The sequence below is a fragment of the Homo sapiens genome, chromosome 6 (genome assembly GCF_000001405.40).
Source record: "Homo sapiens chromosome 6, GRCh38.p14 Primary Assembly".
NCBI lineage: Eukaryota > Metazoa > Chordata > Mammalia > Primates > Hominidae > Homo > Homo sapiens.
Genome location: NC_000006.12, coordinates 157,502,792 through 157,523,243, shown reverse-complemented (window position 1 = coordinate 157,523,243; position 20,452 = coordinate 157,502,792). Strand labels below are relative to the sequence as shown.

Genomic DNA, 20,452 nt, shown 5'->3' with positions numbered 1-20,452 from the left:
GAAAGGACCTTAACAGAAGAAAAAATTTAAGTGCCCATTAACTTCACTAATAATCAAAGAAAGGAAATTAAGAATAGCATTTGTAGATTCACATTGACTAATGCCCCTAGGGCTATAGAGAGAGAGAGATCCCATTCACCCTCTTGCTGGTGGAGTCTGGAGATCAACACAGCCGCCCTAGATGTCTGTCTGGAAATAAGTACTCAGAGCCAAAGTTTAAGGGAAAGAAAAGAAAAAGAAAAGAAAAGAAAAGAAAAGAAAAAGAAAAGAAAAGAAAAGAAAGAAGGAAGGAAGGAAGGAAAGAAAGAAAGAAAGAAAGAAAGGAAGGAAGGAAGGAAGGAAGGAAGGAAGGATGGTAGGAAGATGGGAGGGAGCAAGGGAAGAAGGGAGGAAAGGAAGGAAGGAAGGGAGGGAGGGAGGGAGGGAGGGAGGGAGGGAGGGAGGGAGGGAGGAATGGAAAGAGAGATGGAGGAAAGAAGGGAGGGAGGGAGGAAGAAAGGGAGGGAGGGAGGAGAGAAAGGAAATGAAAGGGAAGAAAAGAAAAAAAACTTCTTACAGTGAGTAGGCTTTTGAAATAATAAAAAATCAATTCTTATATTATTAATATCATAAAAATTTATAAAAATGGGTCTTGTAGTTTTGGGGACCAACCCATACCACTAAAAGTTTGCTGTGCTTTCTGTTTCCTGAGCCTGTATTTCCTATGTGAGTTATTTCTCTACGATCATAAAAGTGGGAAATAGGGAAAAAAACAACAGGGACCACAGGCAAGATTCCATTTCCCCCACACTTCACCAAAAAGCTGGTGTGAAAACCAGTGACACACTGTCCAATCCAGGACTGTTTGTGAACCTAGATGTACCAGTTTCTCATTAGCATTTACTTTTGAGATTACGCATCAAGTCTAAACTCCAATTATTTGATGATAGAATTTCTCAGTTTTAGTTGTGAAAGCCATTTTTATCTAAGTTTGGCTTTTGACATAATATTTGTATCTAGAAGGGAGGAATGAATATACTGCACAAAACAAGTCCAGGAACCTGACACAAAGGTTGCATTGAATTTTCGTGGCAACTGTACGGGTAGGTATTGAGGTCATTGAAGGACGTCATTCAGCAATTTGTCTGAGGTCTTCTCAGTCCTAAGTGAGAAGGGCAAATTCACCACCACTCATGCTCATGTTGGGTGTCTGTATAACCAGCTTTGTACTTTAAAAAAAAAATGCAACTTGTTATATACTTAGCAATTTTTCAGTTTATTTGGATAAGAGACCGTCTCAAATGTTTCTCCTTTATTTGATGGCCTTCGAGTTTCTAAGCAAGCATTCCTAAACTGTTGATGGGGAAGCCTGATCCAGTCAATCTAGAAGTCAGAGCTGCTCCTTGGTTCCTAGTAGGAGAGAGATGTGGCTAGAAGCCATGGCCCAACCAGAGATTTCACAATGAGCACCTTCCTGCCCTGTCACTGCTGAATTCCCCCTTGCCAGGAAACCATGTCATAGCCTCTCCTCACACCAAAGAAGCTGCTATGGTCCTAATGTTTGTGGTCCTCCCTCAAAATTCATCCTAACCGCCAATGCGATGGCATTAGGAAGCAGAACCTTCAGGAGGTGATTATGTCATGAATGGGGTTCAGGCCCTTGTAAAAGAGGCCCCAAAGAGCTGCCTGGCCTCTCCCACCATGTGAGGGCACAGCTAGAAGGTGCCATCTTTGAACCAGAAAGTGGGTCCTCACTAGACACCAAATCTGCCAGCTCCTTGATCTTGGACCTCCCAGAACTGTGAGAAGTAAGTTTCTGTTGTATGTGAGCTACCCACGGCCTGGTATTTTGTTGTAATAGATGCCTGAACAGACGAAGACAGAAGCGTCCTGCTCTAAAGCTAAGGTGCAGTGTAGAAACCACACAAGTCCCTCACTCAAGGCTGCTTCCAGAATTTTTTGAGCCCATATTGTGTGATAAGCACTGTGCTGGAAGACCCAGACTCCAAACGGAGCTGTAATGCCTGACTCCAAACCAAAACACAACAAAGAAAAGATCGAACCAGTGTGGACTCCTGATTCTGCCTCCAGGGTCCCCGCTTCTCCATCTGTAAATGAGGAAGTGGGGCTGACAGTACTCCAGGCCGGCTTTCAATAAACATCTGCGCATCCACTGGCCTGCCCTCCCCCAATCCCTTGCACTTTGGTAAACACATAGGGCAGTTACATTTTATGTGGATTTGAATTTATATGCATTTGGAATCATATGATATAAAAGTGTTTTTAAAAGCTTCGTTTTATGTGCAAAAATTCAAATCCCTCTAAATTAAAAAAATGGTCTAGAACAATATAATTTCTAAGTTGGCAGAAAGTGAACTGTCCCCTCTGCTAAACTGAGGCCCCACTCCCTTCTAATTACTAGTAATCTGGGCTAGTTTCCCAGGTAAAAGGAACAACCAGCCATTCTTTATCAGCATTCTATGCCCAACACTTTTGTTTCATGTCTCAGAACACATGTGACTTTGGTGACTACTGGGTTGTTATCTCAATACTTACTGCTATTTTAACTTAAAATCTTCTAAAAGACATTCTATAGAAATGGTATTTATACATTCATTAAGAAGCAGGTGCTAGGGCTAGTGCTGGAAAGCATATTAGAAATTTAAAAATTCTAGAAAGCCAGTTAGATGGTATTAAACACTACTACTGTGTACACGTTATTATGCATTTTTTAGGACTTGGCTCAAACCATGCAAACATATTGTTCAGTGGCTGTAGATGTATGCCTTTGAAAACCATATTTCCCTTCCTATAAACTTACGTTTTGGAAACACCAGTCTCAAATTATGTGAATTTTAAATAATATGAGATAGTCAGGAAACCATTTCTGGCATAAACTGTGACTACCAGGTAATCTGTATTTAAACATGATCCAATGAAACTTAGAAGCCAGGACAGCTGGAGAAGACAGACCCAGAAGCAGGAAGAGCCAAAAGCACATTGTGGGCAAGAGCAGAGGGGGAATGACAGCTAAATCTTCCTGGAGGCTCCTCCCCTGCAGTCAGGTTGGGGAAGAGACTATCCCAAGAGCCACGGCCCCAGATCAGGACACGGCTAGGATGGAACACAGTGACACCTCTGGAGAGGCTACGCACCTCGATGACAGACTCCACACTTTAGATCTGGGGGGCACCCTGGGATCATCCCTCAGCCTGCAATGCCCTTCTCTTCCCTTCAGCTCAGTTGAAGGGCCACCTACTTCAAGAAGTCTGTCCTGAGTGACATTCCCAGGCTCGCAAATGTCAGCTTATTGCCAGCAGGGCATTCTGGGCATTCACTTCACTTCGCCCTGCACTGCAACTGCTGGGGTTCCCAGTTCTTTCCAATCAGGACCCTTTGACTTCCTTGGGGTAGGGACGGGTCTGTTAGCATTTTATCCTCAGTACCTAGCAAAGCCACGGGCTCCTGTCAGATGCTCAAGAGATGCGTGTTTAATGAAAACAAACAAACAACAAAAAAACGATGAATCCTTTCGTTTTGCAGAGGAAGAGCTGAGAGGGGAAGTCACTTTTGCTCTGGACCACACAGCTCTTGAGGGGCCGGGCTAAGACCCCGGCTCCAAGGCTCTGCCTGCTGGTGATCCAGAATGTTGACATTCTGAACCTTCAGTGGATCCGTCTAAGTTGCTCCCAGAATCCATGGAAAGGCAATTAATGTTTCTATGAACAACCAAGACGGCACCTTTTAGAAAAAGTATCTCATTTAGGCCCTTACTTCTCCCATGAGCTCATCTCTCTGGGCAAGTAAATACAAGCTGCTCACCACAGTTAACGAGCAGCCTAAGCGAAGGCCTCCAGTGAGGAAAGCCTCTCTTTTTTTTTTTTCCAGGCAATGCCCTACTTCTATCAATATGTGTTAAAAACAGACATTATTCCTGGCAACTGCTTCATAGCAAAAAATAAAAATAAAAATAAAAAAATAAATATCAAGCTTCACTTATCTCTCTGCTTCCAGTTTGAAGTAGAGACACTATCATAGTTTTCATACCAGGATTTGGAAAATACGTAAAAAACAAAACTTAAATTTAGCTGCTGCTTTGCAGTTGGATTCTTCGTACATCAGGAAAAACCTGAACAACTCCCTCCATCTATGTTTCTGAGATCACTAAAACTCCTGTTGCTCAGCTGAGCCAGTGAGCCATGAGCCAGCCCTCATAACGCTGTGTTGACAACAGGGAAAATGGCAGAGGCGTAAGGATACAGGTAACAGGGGCAACTGTCAGCTGCCTCTCCTGCCCCAGTCCTCACCATGAACAGCTCCCTTTTCTTGGCTGGCCGCCGTATGGCTTGTAGCGTTTGTGTGCCCCACACGAAGAGAGGATCTCAAGCCACATGTGACTGTGAAGACTACACCCCTCACAAGAATGCGCTGGGAATGCGCTGGAGAAATAACCATCAAAGCCAGTCCACGGTGGCGGGGAAGCCACAGATGGAAGCGCTCTCTGGCTTAAATCCAAGGTTCCAGGAGGGAAACATTGACATGGATTCTAAATAACGAACACAGGCTCACGTGAAACAACTGGAAAAATTGGGCACCGTTTCACAACTAGGGTGAGTTGGGAGGGAGGGTGGGAAAGGCGGGGACAGGCGAGCTGAGCCCCATCCGCTGGTGCACCGGGGCGGTTGGGTGTCACCTACAGACAGAGGCCAGTACACTAACAACTGGGATGGTGATTCACTCCCTGGTCTTCTACAGATTTTAACTTGCTCCTCATATTAGCTTGTCAGGCCTTTATTCCACCACACACTGACTCTGGCAACCACACATCACCTCAGATTGTTTGTAAAGAGCCCCCCTTCCACCCTCCCCCCACCCCTTCCCTATTGCCCCTGGAGAGCTCAATGACCACACATAGTCCTTCTGAGACCTCAGTCCATGCCTGTGAGCTACTGCCCAACAGGGACCACCTGCTGGCATCCTCAGTGTACCTAATGGCAGGTCCATCAGTGTGGCTTGAGGAAGATCTAGCAGGAGCCACTTCCTTCATAGTGCATGATTCTTTAGAGTTGAAGCACAAAAAAGAAAGAAAAGCAACTGCAGGTGGGTGGTCTTTGTTCTATTAGGCCTTCCACGGAGGGATGGGAACTTTGAACTTCAGGAAAATAAACAAAGCTGCAAGCTTTAGCCTGCTGGGTGCTAAGATGCCAACAGGGTGGCCAGCCCCCCACCCTCCTCCAGCCTGCGTGTCCACATCCATGCACGGGGGCTGGGGACGTGCATCCTAGGATGACTTTTACAACTGACCCTTTCTCAGTTCCCAGCTCAAGCTGTGGTTCACACGTGGGGCTTTGATACAGATCACAGGCAATGCCTAGGGCAACAGCGACACTTTTAAAAACCCTCCTCTGTAGGTGACAACACTATCTAGTTGAAAGATACAAAAGGAAAAACAAATGCCAGCACTGTCCCTGAAATGCAGGCAGCGCCCAGATGGTAGGCGGCCGTGAGGGCGAGGCAGGGCAGGGACTGCTCGCCAACACTTTACTCAGGACTGAACCTGGCTGCTGGCTTAGTTCAGGGTCAGGAGTCGCCGGTTTGGGATGTACCTGACAGAAATTTTCAAGATACACAGTACGGCTTAAGAGATACTTTAAGGCCAGGCGCGGTGGCTCAAGCCTGTAATCCCAGCACTTTGGGAGGCCAAGGCGAATGGATCACTTGAGGTCAGGAGTTCGAGATCAACCTGGCCAAGATGATTAAAACCCCATCTCTACTAAAAATACAAAATTAAGCCAGGTGTGATAGCAGCACCTGTAATCCCAGCTACTCGGGAGGCTGAGGCAGGAGAATCGCTTGAACCCGGGAGGCGGAGGTTATAGTTGAGACTGCGCCACTGCACTCCAGCCTGGCTGACAGAGCGAAACTCTGTCTCAAAAAAAAAAAGAGATACTATAGAGCAGAAGTCTTTTAGTGGGGGTACTGTGTCCCCATCACACCCACCACTCCCATCCCTGGGAAGCAGCCACTCCCACTAGGAAAATAGTCCCCTGCTTTAGGAGAACTGTTGGTCCTCACAAATTCCTGAGGAGGGGGAGTCAGTGAAGGTATTCAACGCAACAAAGATTCCAAGGAGAGGAATGAGGCCCTCGCTTGGCCTCAACTTCCCTTCCGTGGCACTGAAAGTGCTCGGAGATGTCTGCTTCCCGGGTACAACCACGGTATAAAAACAGCCCCTTTATGCTCCACTCAGAACTCAGCACTGGGGACTTCCACCCTCCCTCTTGCCATGTTGCTAGAGCTTTCTGAAATGAAAACAATAAAAAAATCTGTGCCCTCCCAAGGCACCACCATGTTTTGGTGTCTATGTGATACAGAGGAGACAGATACCATGGGAACAGGTTTCATCTGGAAGATGACAGTTGCACCTGGTGTGGTTTTTGGCACTTATTAACTTAATGCGTTGCAGTATGTCCGGTGACTGACACCCTGCAGGAAGGCCCACAGAAGGTTGCCATTTCCTAGCCCTTCAAGTCTCTTGCTTTATTGCAGCGCAGACTTGACCTTCTTTCTCCTTGGATTTGTGCTTCCTTGCACAATTACTGTAGCATCTTGGGATACTGCAATGGTGAAACAGAAATAAGCAACTCTAACTTTTGTTTTCCATTTCAACCCAATATTTCAGGCTCCAGTCCCTCATGAAGACATTCATTCAACGAATAATTCACTCAACTACGTGCAGGAGACACTTTCATAGATTTACACTCTGACAGGGAAAGACTGGCCAGGTCCACAAATGACATCATGGCAGACACACAGAGCACGGGCCAGGCACTCAGGGACCCGCAACCTGTTCACGGGAATGACAATAAGGTACTCCCAGAATTCTGAGATAAAATTACCTTAGGAGAGTAAAGTTAGATAAATTAAAAACACGGTTGATTTATCACAATGCTATATACGGATGTTCACAGCATCGCTATTACACAAGCCTCAAACTGAAACAACTCAAGTATCAACGTTAGAATGTAGTAATAAGTTACATATTAATATCATGGAGGATGATACAGCAATGAAATAAACATACTATTTGCTGCATGAAACAACATAGACATAGCTTGCAAATATGTTGAGCAAAGAGAATATAGTGTGAATTTTACTATCGAGTTTATAAGCAGGCAAAATGAAACCTAGGATGCTAGAGGGCAGGGTAGCGGTTACTCTGGAGGTAGTGGTGGCTGAAAGGAGGGCACACAGGGGACTTGGGTCCTGGTAGTGTTCTATTTCACGCCTTGCCTGCTTGCTACGTTAGTCTGATAACTTTGGAAAAATGTATCGAGCTGTACCTTCACAATTTGTACATTTTCCTGAATGAATACTACACATCTATACAAATGTTTACTTAAAAAACTATCTAGATGCAGTTAGTTGGTGTTAAGAGACAGCTGTGGGGGTGAGTGCAAGAGATGGTGTGAGAATCTGTGGCTAAAGAAATGAAGGGTGGGCCGGGCGCGGTGGCTCACGTCTGTAATCCCAGCACTTTGGGAGGCCGAGGTGGGCGGATCACGAGGTCAGGAGATCGAGACCATCCAGGCTAACACGGTGAAACCCCGTCTCTACTAAAAAACACGAAAAAATTAGCCGGGCGTGGTGGCGGGAGCCTGTAATCCCAGCTACTCCGGAAGCTGAGGCAGGAGAATGGCGTGAACTCGGGAGGCGGAGCTTGCAGTGAGCGGAGATAGCGCGCCACTGCATTCCAGCCTGGGCGACAGAGCAAGACTCCGTCTCCAAAAAAAAAAAAAAAAAAAAAGAAAAAGAAAAAGAAAGAGAAATGAAGGGTGCGCCCAGTTCGTTGTGTGTGATTTCGCATCAGCCCAGAAAAGAAGGCCTAAGATGCGACTAGAATCACGTGAGCTGGAATGCAATCAGTTACACTGTGCTCTGCTGGAAAGACCATGGAAAAGATTCGGAGAGGGAAAATTTTGCAGTGTTCATTCCTCACTGTCTGGCAGAGATGCTGTAACAGGAAGGCAGGAACCTTCTGGTCACCAGCGATATGCTCAACTGTGGGATGACTCATTAGTACTCGCCGTGGCTGGCATGAGGTGTCATTCAGGGTCATCTCTCTCCCCGTGAGTGCTCAGGCCCCACTCACCAAGCAACCTTCTAGCCACAGATTCAACTTCCCCAGCCCAGGACATGCTGGAAAACTGGAAAGGAATATTCTGGCCTTTACAAAATGTTCTCACTAAATACATAGCATCCTTTTGATATCTCAGGCACCTGTAAGGCCCCGATGCAAACACTTCTGAAAGAGCTGCGATAACACTGAGTCTCCGGACCTGCCAAGTCGAGAACCAGATGTTATACTTTGGAGACTCCACCAAAGCAGATCTCCCCTGAGACCCAGGCCCCAAGCACCCCCATACTCCTGGAATGGGTTCCTTGTTGGCTTGGTTTTTGTGCCTATACCATCGGTGGCTTGGACATCACCCACTCCCCACCGCCCAGCGGGGAAGAGAGGCTGGGTCAGCCTTCCAAGGTCAAGGCCAGTGAAGCTTTCCAGCAGTCAAGAGGCTGCAGGGCTCAAACAACAACCGGAATAAGGGGTCCATCTCTTGCCTCAGGGGCCTGTTACAGTTATATGACATTTGCCATGAAACTCAATATTCACTGCCTAGCAATAAACATAGAAACTGAAGTACTAGATTGGGGATTCCAGGGACTTCTTCCAATCCAACTTCTTGGCGATATCAGAGTATTTAATCACTGCAATCTAATAGGCAGATATTTTTGTTTTATTGGCTTCTAGAGCAGAACCTTCCATCCCAACCCTGGCAGCCACCTGGGGACATCCAAGTTTTGCTCTTTGCACAGCCGACTGTGTGTGAGCACAGGTGAAAGTGACCATGGGCATAGAAAGAAAGAAAATTCAATGTTCCTGAAGAGTAGATGGATCCTGAGAGGGGAGTGACGGTACAGTGTGGGCCGCATGGCCGTGAGCTGGCTTGTCGGTTGTTTACACGTAACTCTGCCTTGTCCCCCCAAAAAATTGAGAGCCCTGGAACCCATTTATACCCACGTGCCTTCAATATGGTATATCCCAACTGTTTTTCTTTTAATCTCTGAACCTACATTTTTCATGCTTGCTAATGAAACTCAACTCATTTTGTTTCTAGAGACAGAGCCAAATCTGGTGAAGCAAACTCATTCAGGAAGACTGGCAGGAGGGACCAGCCAGCCTCCGAGAGAAAGGATGTGGATGGCGTGTCACAGTGGGAAGAGCCTGGGACCAGGGTCTGAAGGCCACTGACAAGGGGACCCTGAGCAATTCACTGTTCGCTGAGCCAAGGTTTGCTCATCCATAAAATGAGGGACTGGAAACAGCTGATTTCTAAGTTCCTTTCAGGTTTCATGATGGCTGGGTAAGGAGCCTCATCTTCAGAGTCCGGAAGGCCTGGCTTCTGATCTCTGACCTCATCACTAGCTGTGTGACTCAGGCAAACTTACCTAACCTCTCTGAACCTTTTTATTAAAAAATAAAAGCGGTGACAATCATATCATAATCAACACATAATAACAGAATATAATATATAAATAGTACAATCACATAACAATAATAATGCGGACTGGATGAAGTAAATGTACATATGGTATTTAGTGATGTGCCTGGTGTAGTGTAAATCCTAAATACCGAACAGCAAAAACAGCCATGAGTCTGTGTTTTCCAAGGCTTATGTCAATGTTGACAGAGTCCCAGATGGAGCTCGGGGTGCAATCAGGTAAAAAGTAACAAAGCACTAACAGCTTAGGGAATGGTGTGAAATGTTCAGAAATGAATGTTTAGAATGAAACTGACTTACTATCAGCTCCGACCCTGGGCCCTGCCTGTCCTGACAGGTGTGGACGCCACCACCACACTCACAGCTGTGAAACATCTTTCCTACAGCCATATAAGTGGCAACTCTTGAGAGTTTAGTGTGCTTTTAAGAAAGCTAATGACACTAAGAGGAGGAGAATGGTGCTGAACAGTCAATTTTGTTTTCATCTTACAGAGAACAGTAAGCTATTAAGAGCAATCTGCTCAACAGCGAGACGTCACGAACAAGCTGAGCCATCTCCCCTGGTGTCCTGGGCTAAAGAATCTCCTTAGAAATAACAGCATTTGCCAGACGTTTATGCAGAAGTGGATGCATTATTTAACAAAGTCCCGTATTGTTTATTCTGGAACACTGATATGAGAGTGATACACATGCCTTTTTCAGCGTTCCCAAATATTGGTGATTTTGTTTCATGTCTGGGTTCTTTTGAACTGTTGTCACTGATAGTGAAATACTAATTGTATATAAAGGCAGAAACATGCTTTTCCTGAGGTTAGGAAACATATGCAGCTGGAATCTATAAAATAAATAATTTCTCAAATAATGACAGGAACATTTTCAGAGTATATTATGTAGTCTAACCCTACATTCTGATGAGTGTACAGATTAGAAAATATACATACTGGAAGACGGATATATTTTTATCTGTTTTGACAAGTTTACCCATTTCTCTCCCTGTCTTTTTTTCTTTCTTTCTTTCTTTTTTGTGGAGAACTGGGACTTGCTATGTTGCCCAGGCAGGTCTTGAACTCCTGGGCTCAAGCTATCCTCCCACATCTGCCTTCCTTAGTGCTGGGACTGCAGATGTGAGCCACTGCACCTGGCCTCGCCCATTTCTAAATAAGCAATTTATTGTTGCTCTTCTTCCCAACAAAGTGTGCATGTGTGTGTGGCTCACGCATGAACTGTGAGCCACGGACTATGCTTAACACAGTGCAGAACGTGGCTCTGTCTTTGAAGGATGATTCACTCCAATCCTAAGGCGGAAAATGGCCAAATTAAGAGCAGAGCTGGTGATGAGGACTACCAGAGGGCTATGTGGCCGTAAGCTAAGGAAGGGGCTTCTGAGGAGGGCAAGTCAGCCCTACAGAGGGCCCCCCAGCGGCATCCAGGGCCAGCCAGGGCCATGGACCCCGAGCCAGGATGACTGGGTTCAAATCCCGGCTCCACACTTACTTGCCATGTGACTTTAGCAAGTTATTAACCTAACCTCACCCTGCTTGAGTTTCCTTCACTCGAACATGAGGATAATAATTGGACCTACCGCAGGAGGGAACTGCAAGAATTAAATAATACATATAAAGCATTTGTGACAGTGCCGTCACTATCCTCCTCCAGGTAGGCTCTTTATGACCTTCTTCACCGTTCCAGTTCATTACTTCGCATTTCGAGCATGTTGTTCATGCTCCAGTTCTAAGAAATCAAGACCACTGAGCAGCACAGCCAACACCTTCTCTCCCAGACATCGTGAGTGTGATCAATATCATCAGCATGATTAAAAGCCTATTTATTTATGACATTGTGCTAAGTGCTACACTAACACACACACAGAGGTCCTCTAGAAATTCCCAGCTCATAATGGACGATAACTGTAAATCCAGAGATAGAGCACATGCATTAGGCAAACGTGGAAATTAAATAGGCTGAACATTTCCAATATTTGCAAGTAAATGTACTATTATATAAAAATGTGGGCCGGGCGCGGTGGCTCAAGCCTGTAAACCCAGCACTTTGGTAGGCCGAGGTGGGTGGATCACCTGAGGTTGAGAGTTCGAGACCAGCCTGACCAACACGGAGAAACCCCGTCTCTACTAAAAATACAAAAAAAAAAAAAAAAAAGTACCCGGGCTTCGTGGCGCATGCCTGTAATCCCAGCTACTCGGGAGGCTGAGGCAGGAGAATCGCTTGAACCCGGGAGGCGGAGGTTGTAGTGAGCCGAGATGGCACCATTGCACTCCAGCCTGGGCAACAAAGCAAGACTCCGTCTCAAAAAAAAAAAAAGTTTCCTCATGCACTCTCACCACCACTTACCCCACTCCACGCTCCACTCTGAACAGAATGATTGGCTGTAGTTTACAGAAAATGGAACCAGGAAGCAAATAAACTAAAAGAGAAATTCCAGGTGCGGGCGATTCCTCTCCTGCTTCCCGCCCCACAGTTCTGTCTCACCTTCGCAATAAGCAGCCCGCCAGCCAAGAGGAAATGGTGGGTAAGCAACTCCATCCTCTTTGCCCCCACGGCAGGGCCCTGGAACCCACACAAAAAGAGCCGGACTTAGAAGCCGAGTCGGAGAAGATGCCTACTAAGGAAGAGGAAGAGGATCTGGCTCTGAGGCGGAGGCTGCGGTCGGCGAGGGTGGAGTTGGAGACAGTTGCTTTCCATGATTTGATTTCTAAGCCACAAAGGTAAATTATGATGAAACAAACATATACATTTTTAAATGCTGTAAAAAGCATGGGCAAAAACATGGGCAGGAAGCAGCCCCGGTATGGTTACTGAAACCGCTGAAGCGAGGGAGGTGTCTGAGGAAGGCAGAGGCCATTGGAAACTCGGGGACTGGTGGCCATCCCTGGGCGCCTGCCTGGTGGAGCTCTGCGCAATGAACGCCCCCCTTGCTGGGAAGGGGCGTGCTCCACGTGGACCCCGGGCCCCTCCCACCTCGCTCATCCGCGCTTCCTCTCTGCCCACCAGAGCTCTGCATTTGCTTCTCCTTATGCGGATTGCAAATAAGGAGGCAGGTGGAGAAAGAAAAATCAGCAGAGGCGACTGAGAAAGAGAGGTCAGAAGGTAGGGGGAGGCCCTGGAAGAGCAGCAGCAAAGAAGTTGAGAAAAGAAAGTTCCAGAAGAGGGCAGTGGCCCACCTGTCCAGCACTGAGGGACTTGGTAAGACATGGCCTAGTGGGTGTCCTGGGGTGGACAAGTTCACCCAAGACCACACCAGGACGGCTTCATGGAGCAGTGAGCATGGAAGGCTGCCTGCAGAGGGGCCTGTGTGGCAGGGGTCAGTGAGAGGATGAATGAGCATCTGGAACATTCTTTTCAGGGATTTAGTTGTGAGGAGGAGTGAAAATGGGGTGGAAGCAGTGGCAAGTGTGCAGCTGAAGTAGGGAATTTTATTTATTTATTTATTTTACTTATTTTTTGAGACAGAGTCTCGCTCTGTCACCCAGGCTGGAGTGCAGTGGCGCGATCTGGGCCCACTGCAACTTCCAGCCTCCGGGTTCAAGTGATTCTCCTGCCTCAGCCTCCTGAGTAGCTGCGATTACAGGCCTGGCCATCATGCCCCACTAATGTTTGTATTTTTAGTAGAGATGGGGTTTCACCATGTTTGCCAGGCTGGTCTCAAACTCCTGACTTTGGGTGATCCACCCGCCTTAGCCTCCCAAAGTGCTGGGATTACAGGCGTGAGCCACCGCACCCGGCCATGAAGTAGGGAATTTAACAGAGGAGAGGGAAGTGAGAGCAGAGTGGAGGCTGCAGGAAGAGACATGGCAATGAGGCTCTGGCCTCAGATTCTCCACCTGTCAATTCGAAGTCCTGCTACATGCCAAGTAACTAGCATGCCTTCCTTTTCAATTCTCTGTACCCAGTCTGCAAACATTATATTTTTTTAAAGATTATGAACCAATCCTATGAATGAAAAGGAAAGCACTCTATATCCAGAAAACTTGAAGGCCTTAAATGGGCAGTTTTGCACCTTTCACATTCAACTCTATCTCTCACAGTTTTATTAATTTCAAAATATGAATACACCTGTCATCAGTGTTTGAGATGGCATTTGGCTTGCAGGGCATCTTGGCGAGTAACAGAGAGGGAGTATCTGGAGACACACTGCCAGGTGTGAATCCAGCTCTGCCGCCTACTAACTGACCTTGGAAAGTCATTTCACTTCTCTATGCCTCAGTTTTCATATTTTTTAAATGGGGACAATAAAGTTGTCCCCATTAAAAAAGTTAGGTTCACTATGTGTGTACATATTTGTTAAGCTGTATCTCACAAAGTGGTTAAGACTCAATATGTGTGTATACATGTGGCAGGCAGGATTCTGAAGAGGTCTCCCTGAGACTCCTCATCTGGATGCTGCTGTGGAAGGGGCTCTGCAGATGCTCCTAAGGTCACTATTCAGCTGATGGTAAGATGGGGACATCATCCTGGATCATCCAGGTGGGCCCAGGGTACTCACATCAGTGCTTAGAGACAGAAGACAAAGGGCGTAGAGGGGTGTTGGAAGAAGTGTGTTGGAGAGATGAGGCAGGAGGAGAGAGGCAGAGATTCTAAGGTGGGGAAGACTCTCCCCACTGCTGCTGGAGTGAAAGGAGCCACGAGCCAAGGAATGCAGGGGGCCTCTGGAAGCTGAGGTTAACCCCTGGCCAACAGCCGGGAAGAAACGGGAACTTGTGTCCTCCAACCACGTGGAACTGAAATTTACTTAAAACCTCAATAAGCCTGGAAGTGGGCTCTCTCTTTTTATTTTTCAAAGAAACTATAACTTATATCATCAGAAAAATAAAGCAAGAACAGGACACTAAAAAAGAACAGTTAGAGAACAAGAAGGAGTTTTTGGTACTGAAAGATATTGCAGGTGAATTTAAAAATTCATTGAAACATTAGAAGATAAAGTTAAATAAATTTTCCAGAAAGTGCAACAAAAAGATCAAGAGATGGATAATACAAAAGCTAAGAAAATTAAAGGATCAATACAAGACATTGGTTGGGTGCAGTGGCTCACACCTTTAATCCCAGCACTTTGGGAGGCTGAGGTAGGAGCATCTGATTGCTTGAGCCCAGGAGTTCAAGACCAGCCTGGGCAACATAGTGAGACCTTGTCTCTACAAAAAATATAAAATAAAAAAATTACTCAGACATGGTGGCACATGGCTGTAGTCCCAAGTACACAGAAGGCTGAGGTGGGAGGATTGCTTGAGCCTGGAGGTTGAGGCAGCAACAAGCCATGATTGCACCACTGCACTCCAACCTGGGCAACAGAGTAAGACCCTGTCTCAAGAAAAAAATACAACACATCAATATCCAAATGAAAGAGTTACAGATACAAAAGAAGTTTCAGATAGAGAGAACAGACAAAAAATAATAATGGGGAGGAAAATTATTGAAGGACATCTCCTAGAAATGAAAAACCCACATTTCTACATCAACAGGACTCACCACCACCCTGGTATTGATGCCCAACACAATGATTGATCATCATTTGAGAAAACAAAACCTCCAAAACACCAGCTGTAAAGAACAACATCTAAAAGCTTTGAAAGAGGTAAAGGAATGGTGGGGACAAGGTCAGGTTCAAATATTTAGTATATGGCCCTGGACTTCTGAATAGAAAATGTGGAAGCTAGAAGACAATGGAATCATTGCTTCAAAATTCTGATTGAGGATGATTTTCCATTCATATTTGTATACCCAACTTGACAATCAATCAAGTGTAAGATTGAAATAAACATATTTTCAGATATTTAAAATCTCAAAAAGGTATTGCTTCCTTAAGATGTCACAGGGTGTTTTCCACCAAAAGCAGGGAGGAAAATGATGAAGCTGAAGATCTGGAATGCAGGAACAGGAAGGATGTTCCTTGCCAAGGAGGATGCCCATCCAGAAGAGGGGCAAGGAAAACCCTCAGGATGATCATGACGGGAGACTCTGGAGCGACAGCAGTGCCCCAGGCCAGTCCAACTGAAGTGGAAGGAGGCTCAGATAGAGCTAAAATAGCAAGAATGGGTGCAATTGGATGGACATATTTTTACAGAGCTGTTGGAAGATGTGGAAAAGTCCAAATACAAAAACAAGTCAGGAGGCTGGGCACAGTGGCTCACGTCTGAAATTCCAGCACTTTCGGAGGCCAAGGTGGGCAGATCACTTGAGGTCAGGAGTTGGAGACCAGTGTAGCCAACATGGCAAAACTCCTTCTCAACTAAAAATACAAAAATTAGCCAGGTGTGGTGGCGTGCCTGTAATCCCAGCTACCCAGGAGGCTGAGACATGAGAATTGCTTGAACCTGGAAGGCGGAGGTTGTAGTGAGCCAAGATCACACCACTGCACTCCAGCCTGGGTGACAGAGTGAGACTCTGTCTCAAAAAAAAAAAAAAATGAGTCAGGAAATATAAAATGTTATATAAGGAAATATTCATAGTACAACCTGGCATAGGTGTGAACAATATTTACATGTGCAAAATAATTTAAAAATCTGGATATGGATTTAATAAAAATTTATGATATAGCTATTCTGAAGGGATTAGGGAGAAAGAGGAAGGGAAAGCATAAGAAAATAAAAAGTACACAGATAATGTCTAACATGAATGAACCAAGAGAGAAGTACATACATATTACTTAGAATACCAAAAACAGTTGAAACTGAGAGTAGGGGGCAGGGTCACAGGAGATGGCTGGTTTTGGTTATAAGTCTTTTAGCACAATTTGGCCTTTTAAACTATATGTTACTTTAATTAAAAACCAAAATTAAAAAAAAAATGACTCTACTTTCCTAGGTGCCACTTATCAATGGCCACATTCACTCTGAGTTGAAGGACATGGATGTTTAGGATACTTTATGCAAGCACAGTTGTATCCACTAGCTAATATCCTGAGTGGTTGTTTTCCTTTAGATATAGACAATAGCTCACATTAACATTCCCCCAGGGACCAATATAAAATATATCTGTCGTCAGCATATGAAGGCTCACTAAAGTTAATGGGCTTTTTCACACATCACCTAAGTTGTATACCTAATATACAACAGCAGAAGCAAATTAATAAATAAACTCTGGAAGATTCTAGCTTGTCATTGCTAAGTTTACCATTGTTTGCATAGTTCAGGGAGAGGACCTAGAATATAACTAAGGCAACAGGAAAATAATGTTTGAAGGGGATTAGAGAAGTCCACATCATCTCATGCACAAATAACAGTGTGAGCAAGAAGGCAGCTAATGTTAGCCTCATGCTGACCTTGCAGAGGGCTCTCTCCAACATCCAGCTCTTTGCAAATGGATTCCCAGAGTCAGAATATTGCATCTGAAAGAGACCTCAGAAATAGTCCAGTTTAACCCTTTCATTTCCCTAATGAGGAAACTGAGATAGGTTGACAAAAATAACAATTGTGTAATGTAGTAACCGCTGGCTGGACAGAGACTTCAACCCTGGACTCAGTCTGGGTTTTAGGTTGTGAATGAGACATGGATGTTTCTAAAGAGGGATAATGAGATTGTGCTGAGTCACACAAATGACACCAGAAATAGAACTTACTATTTAACCATGAAGAGATTCCATTCCAGACTAAGTGTGGGAAAAGCCTTTAACCACCCAAGCTACAGTGTTTTCCCACGGATGATCAGTGCCTAGAGAAGACTTTAATGAGAGGTGCAAGTTACCAAGCACAGGTGCTATCTACACTAGAGCTCATCTGCTGTATTTCTGAGCCAAACAGGCCCTGATCTCATTGACCGAGCTGCATTTGTTCAGTGTTTCAGCACTTGGGTGCACTCAGTTACATCTGACCAAGGGATTTTCTTGCCCTTCCAAATCATTCACTGAAAATGTGCTACTGGCAAATATCAACTCTGATGACTACAGAAACAAAACTCTTATACTTCTACACAAAGATGAAGACTCAATTTAATTCTTCGTTTAAACAAATTTTTTTTTTAACTTCTGATCCCTGCCTCCCTATCCATGAACAAACATTTCGCCAAGTCACAAGGACGTCAGGGTTTTAATAACTCATGGTACAGCCTTTAATCATATACTTTGGCCTAAATAGATTACAGCCACTGGTTCCCCCAACCACATGATGATTTGTTCCCTCATAAATTGTTAATTCATTCAGCAGGCATGGCTTCCTCTTACTTTGCCACTCTACTGCACTCAGTCACATTTTCTTAAGAACTCAGTGAGTTCTTTGTCATTGAGATGATGTGGACTTCTCTAATCCCCTTCGAACATTATTTTCCTGTTGCCTTAGTTATATTCTAGGTCCTCTCCCTGAACTACGCAAATGATGGTAAACTTAGCAAAGACTTTAAAGATTATTATGTAATATTTTATATGAATAGACAGAAAGTCATGAAGCCCCCAAATAAAACAATACTTCCAATCCTACCACCCAACTAAAGATTAGATCCCATTACCAATACCGTTGGATCTTACCTTCCAGACGACTCCCTCCCTAGGAAACTGTCCTTGCTTTTAAACATAGTTTTACCATGCACAAATGCCTCTGAACAATTTATTGCTTGAATATGCTTGCTTTTGAGTTTTATAAACATGTTATTGGCCAGACATGGTGGCTCATGCCTGTAATCCCAACACTTTGGGAGGCCCAGGCGGGTGGATCACTTGAGGTCAGGTGTTCAAGACCAGCATGGCCAACAGGGTGAAACCCCATCTCTACTAAAAATACAAAATTAGCCGGGTGTGGTGGCGCTCACCTGTAATCCCAGCTACTCCAGAGGCTGAGGCAGCAGAATCGCTTGAACCCAGGAGGCAAAGGTTGTGGTGAGCCGAGACTGCACCATTACATTCCAGCCTGGTCAACAGAGTGAGACTCAATCTCAAACAAAACAAAACAAAACAAAACAAAACAAAACAAAACAAAACACATGGTATTTTACTGCATGTAGTCTTTAGCAATTTTTTTTGCTGACGATAAGTTTTTAAGATATGCCCATGCAGGCCGGGCGCGGTGGCTCACGCCTGTAACCCCAACACTTTGGGAGGCCGAGGTGGGCAGATCACCTGAGGTCAGGAGTTCAAGACCAGCTTGGCCAACGTGGTGAAACCCCATCTCTACTAAAAATACAAAAATTAGCCAGGTGTGGTGGTGGGTGCTTGAACCCAGGAGCCGGAGGCTGCAGTGAGCTGAGATTGCACCATTGCACTCCAGCCTGGGTGACAAGAGTGAGACTCTGTCTAAAAAAAAAAAAAAAAAAAAATAGGCTGGGTGCGGTGGCTCACGCCTGTAATCCCAGCACTTTGGGAAGCCGAGGCAGGCAGATCACGAGGTCAGGAGATCGAGACCACGGTAAAACCCCGTCTCTACTAAAAAAAAAAAAAATACAAAAAATTAGCCGGGCGTGAACCCGGGAGGCGGAGCTTGCAGTGAGCTGAGATCGCGCCACTGCACTCCAGCCTGGGCGGCACAGCGAGACTCCATCTCAAAAAACAAACAAACAAGCAAACAAAAAAAAAATATATATATGCCCATGTTGCTGCATGTAGCTGCAGTTTCTCTGGTTTCCACTGCTGGATAATACTCCACTGTATGAATCTCCCATGGTGCATTTATTTGTTCCCTTTTTCTTGAACATTTATATTGTTTCCAGTTTTTTGCTATTGTGAACAGTTATCATCATGAACAATCTCAAACATATCTCCTCAAGAAATTGCAAATATGTTTCTAGTATATATACTTACAAATGGAATTGTTGAGTCAGAGGGTAGATGTGCATTCTGCTTTATAAGATAATACCAATTTTTTATCCAAAGTGGTGGCACCAAATTACACTCCCACGAGCCTTATATGAGCCGTGCTGTTTCCTCATACGCATCATTGCCAACGCTTGGTAATGTCAGACTTCTTAATTTTTGCCAACTTTGTGGGAGTAAAAAGCATGTCACTGTGATCCTAATTTACATTTTCCTGATTACTAATGAGGCTGAGCATGTTTTCATGTTTTTAGATTGTCTACCACCTGGCGCCTAATAATTTTAGGCAATTCATTTCGTCATACTGTGTATCACACTATTCATTAATCCAAAATTCAATAGGAGGATGAAAATCAAGACACATCAGGAGACAGTAGGTGACTCTGAGTGACTACTTGTCTTTGTGTAATGAGCATTGTGGCTGATGCTGCAATCACTCAACTCCACCCCCATTAAACAGCAGCCTGTGGCTTGGAGATTGGAGCTCAGCTCAAAATGAGGGCATGGATAGTCTAAGGGAATCCCACATCTCTTGAAAGTTCAGGAGCGGAGATGTAAGCCAAATCTGTCTAAAGACAGAAAAAGACAGGACTAGTAGAAGCATCTTGAAAAATCCTTCCTTCCTCTCACAAGCAGCAGTGGGAAGCCAGGATGTGTCTGACACTGGATGTGAAAGAGGAAGCACATGGACCCACCTGCTTCTGGCAGCCATCCTGGGCCCACGAGGAGAAGCAATCAGAGAGGAAGGTGGCCGGTGTGGAGGGCTGAGCAGACAGATGAGAACCACCAGAGTCCCCGATCACACTGCTCAACTGTCACACAGACCAACATGGAGCCTGCTATCTCTGGGTGCCAATTTAGGCAAATCAATATGTTGCTTTGCTGCTTTAGGCAATTTGAACCTGGCTTTCTGCTACTTCAACCAAGAGCATCCTGATACAAGTTGTGTAGTTTAAAAACAAACACAGCCGGGTGCGGTGGCTCATGCCTGTAATTCCAATACTTTGGGAAGCCAAGGCAAGTTGATCACTTGAGGACAGGAGTTCGAGACCAGCCTGGGCAACATGGTAAAACCCCATCTCTATTAAAAATACAAAAATTAGCTGGGCATGGTGATGGGCACCTGTAATCCCAGCTACTTGAGAGGCTGAGCCAGGAGAATCGC

The 20,452-nt window shown here is 45.1% G+C and overlaps 1 protein-coding gene across 6 annotated transcripts in view, besides 3 other annotated features; it reads right to left on the bottom strand.

Annotated features, from left to right (window-relative positions):
- The window catches only part of ZDHHC14 (zDHHC palmitoyltransferase 14), a 296,968-nt gene that overhangs the window by 154,914 nt on the left and 121,602 nt on the right, over positions 1 to 20,452 (bottom strand). For 3 of the 6 annotated variants that reach the window (XM_017011308.2, XM_017011309.2, XM_017011310.2), the window contains exon 1: positions 12,027 to 12,572. The exons of the other annotated variants lie outside the window; for them this stretch is intronic. In XM_017011308.2, the coding sequence (XP_016866797.1) occupies positions 12,027 to 12,325 (299 nt within the window). In that variant the 5' untranslated portion in view covers positions 12,326 to 12,572. Of the gene's footprint in view, positions 1 to 12,026; positions 12,573 to 20,452 lie in introns of those variants that run through there. 6 annotated transcript variants of the gene reach the window in all.
- Positions 4,866 to 5,387: an enhancer, noted in NCBI's record as "H3K4me1 hESC enhancer chr6:157938889-157939410 (GRCh37/hg19 assembly coordinates)". NCBI's record gives its function as "activates a minimal SCP1, AML or CMV promoter by ChIP-STARR-seq in primed H9 embryonic stem cells {active_cell/tissue: H9 hESC(primed)}" and the evidence as "EXISTENCE:reporter gene assay evidence [ECO:0000049][PMID:30033119]".
- Positions 5,388 to 5,911: an enhancer, noted in NCBI's record as "H3K4me1 hESC enhancer chr6:157938365-157938888 (GRCh37/hg19 assembly coordinates)". NCBI's record gives its function as "activates a minimal SCP1, AML or CMV promoter by ChIP-STARR-seq in primed H9 embryonic stem cells {active_cell/tissue: H9 hESC(primed)}" and the evidence as "EXISTENCE:reporter gene assay evidence [ECO:0000049][PMID:30033119]".
- Positions 17,241 to 17,441: a silencer, noted in NCBI's record as "peak6259 fragment used in MPRA reporter construct". NCBI's record gives its function as "represses an SCP1 promoter by STARR-seq MPRAs in K562 erythroleukemia cells {active_cell/tissue: K562}" and the evidence as "EXISTENCE:reporter gene assay evidence [ECO:0000049][PMID:32103011]".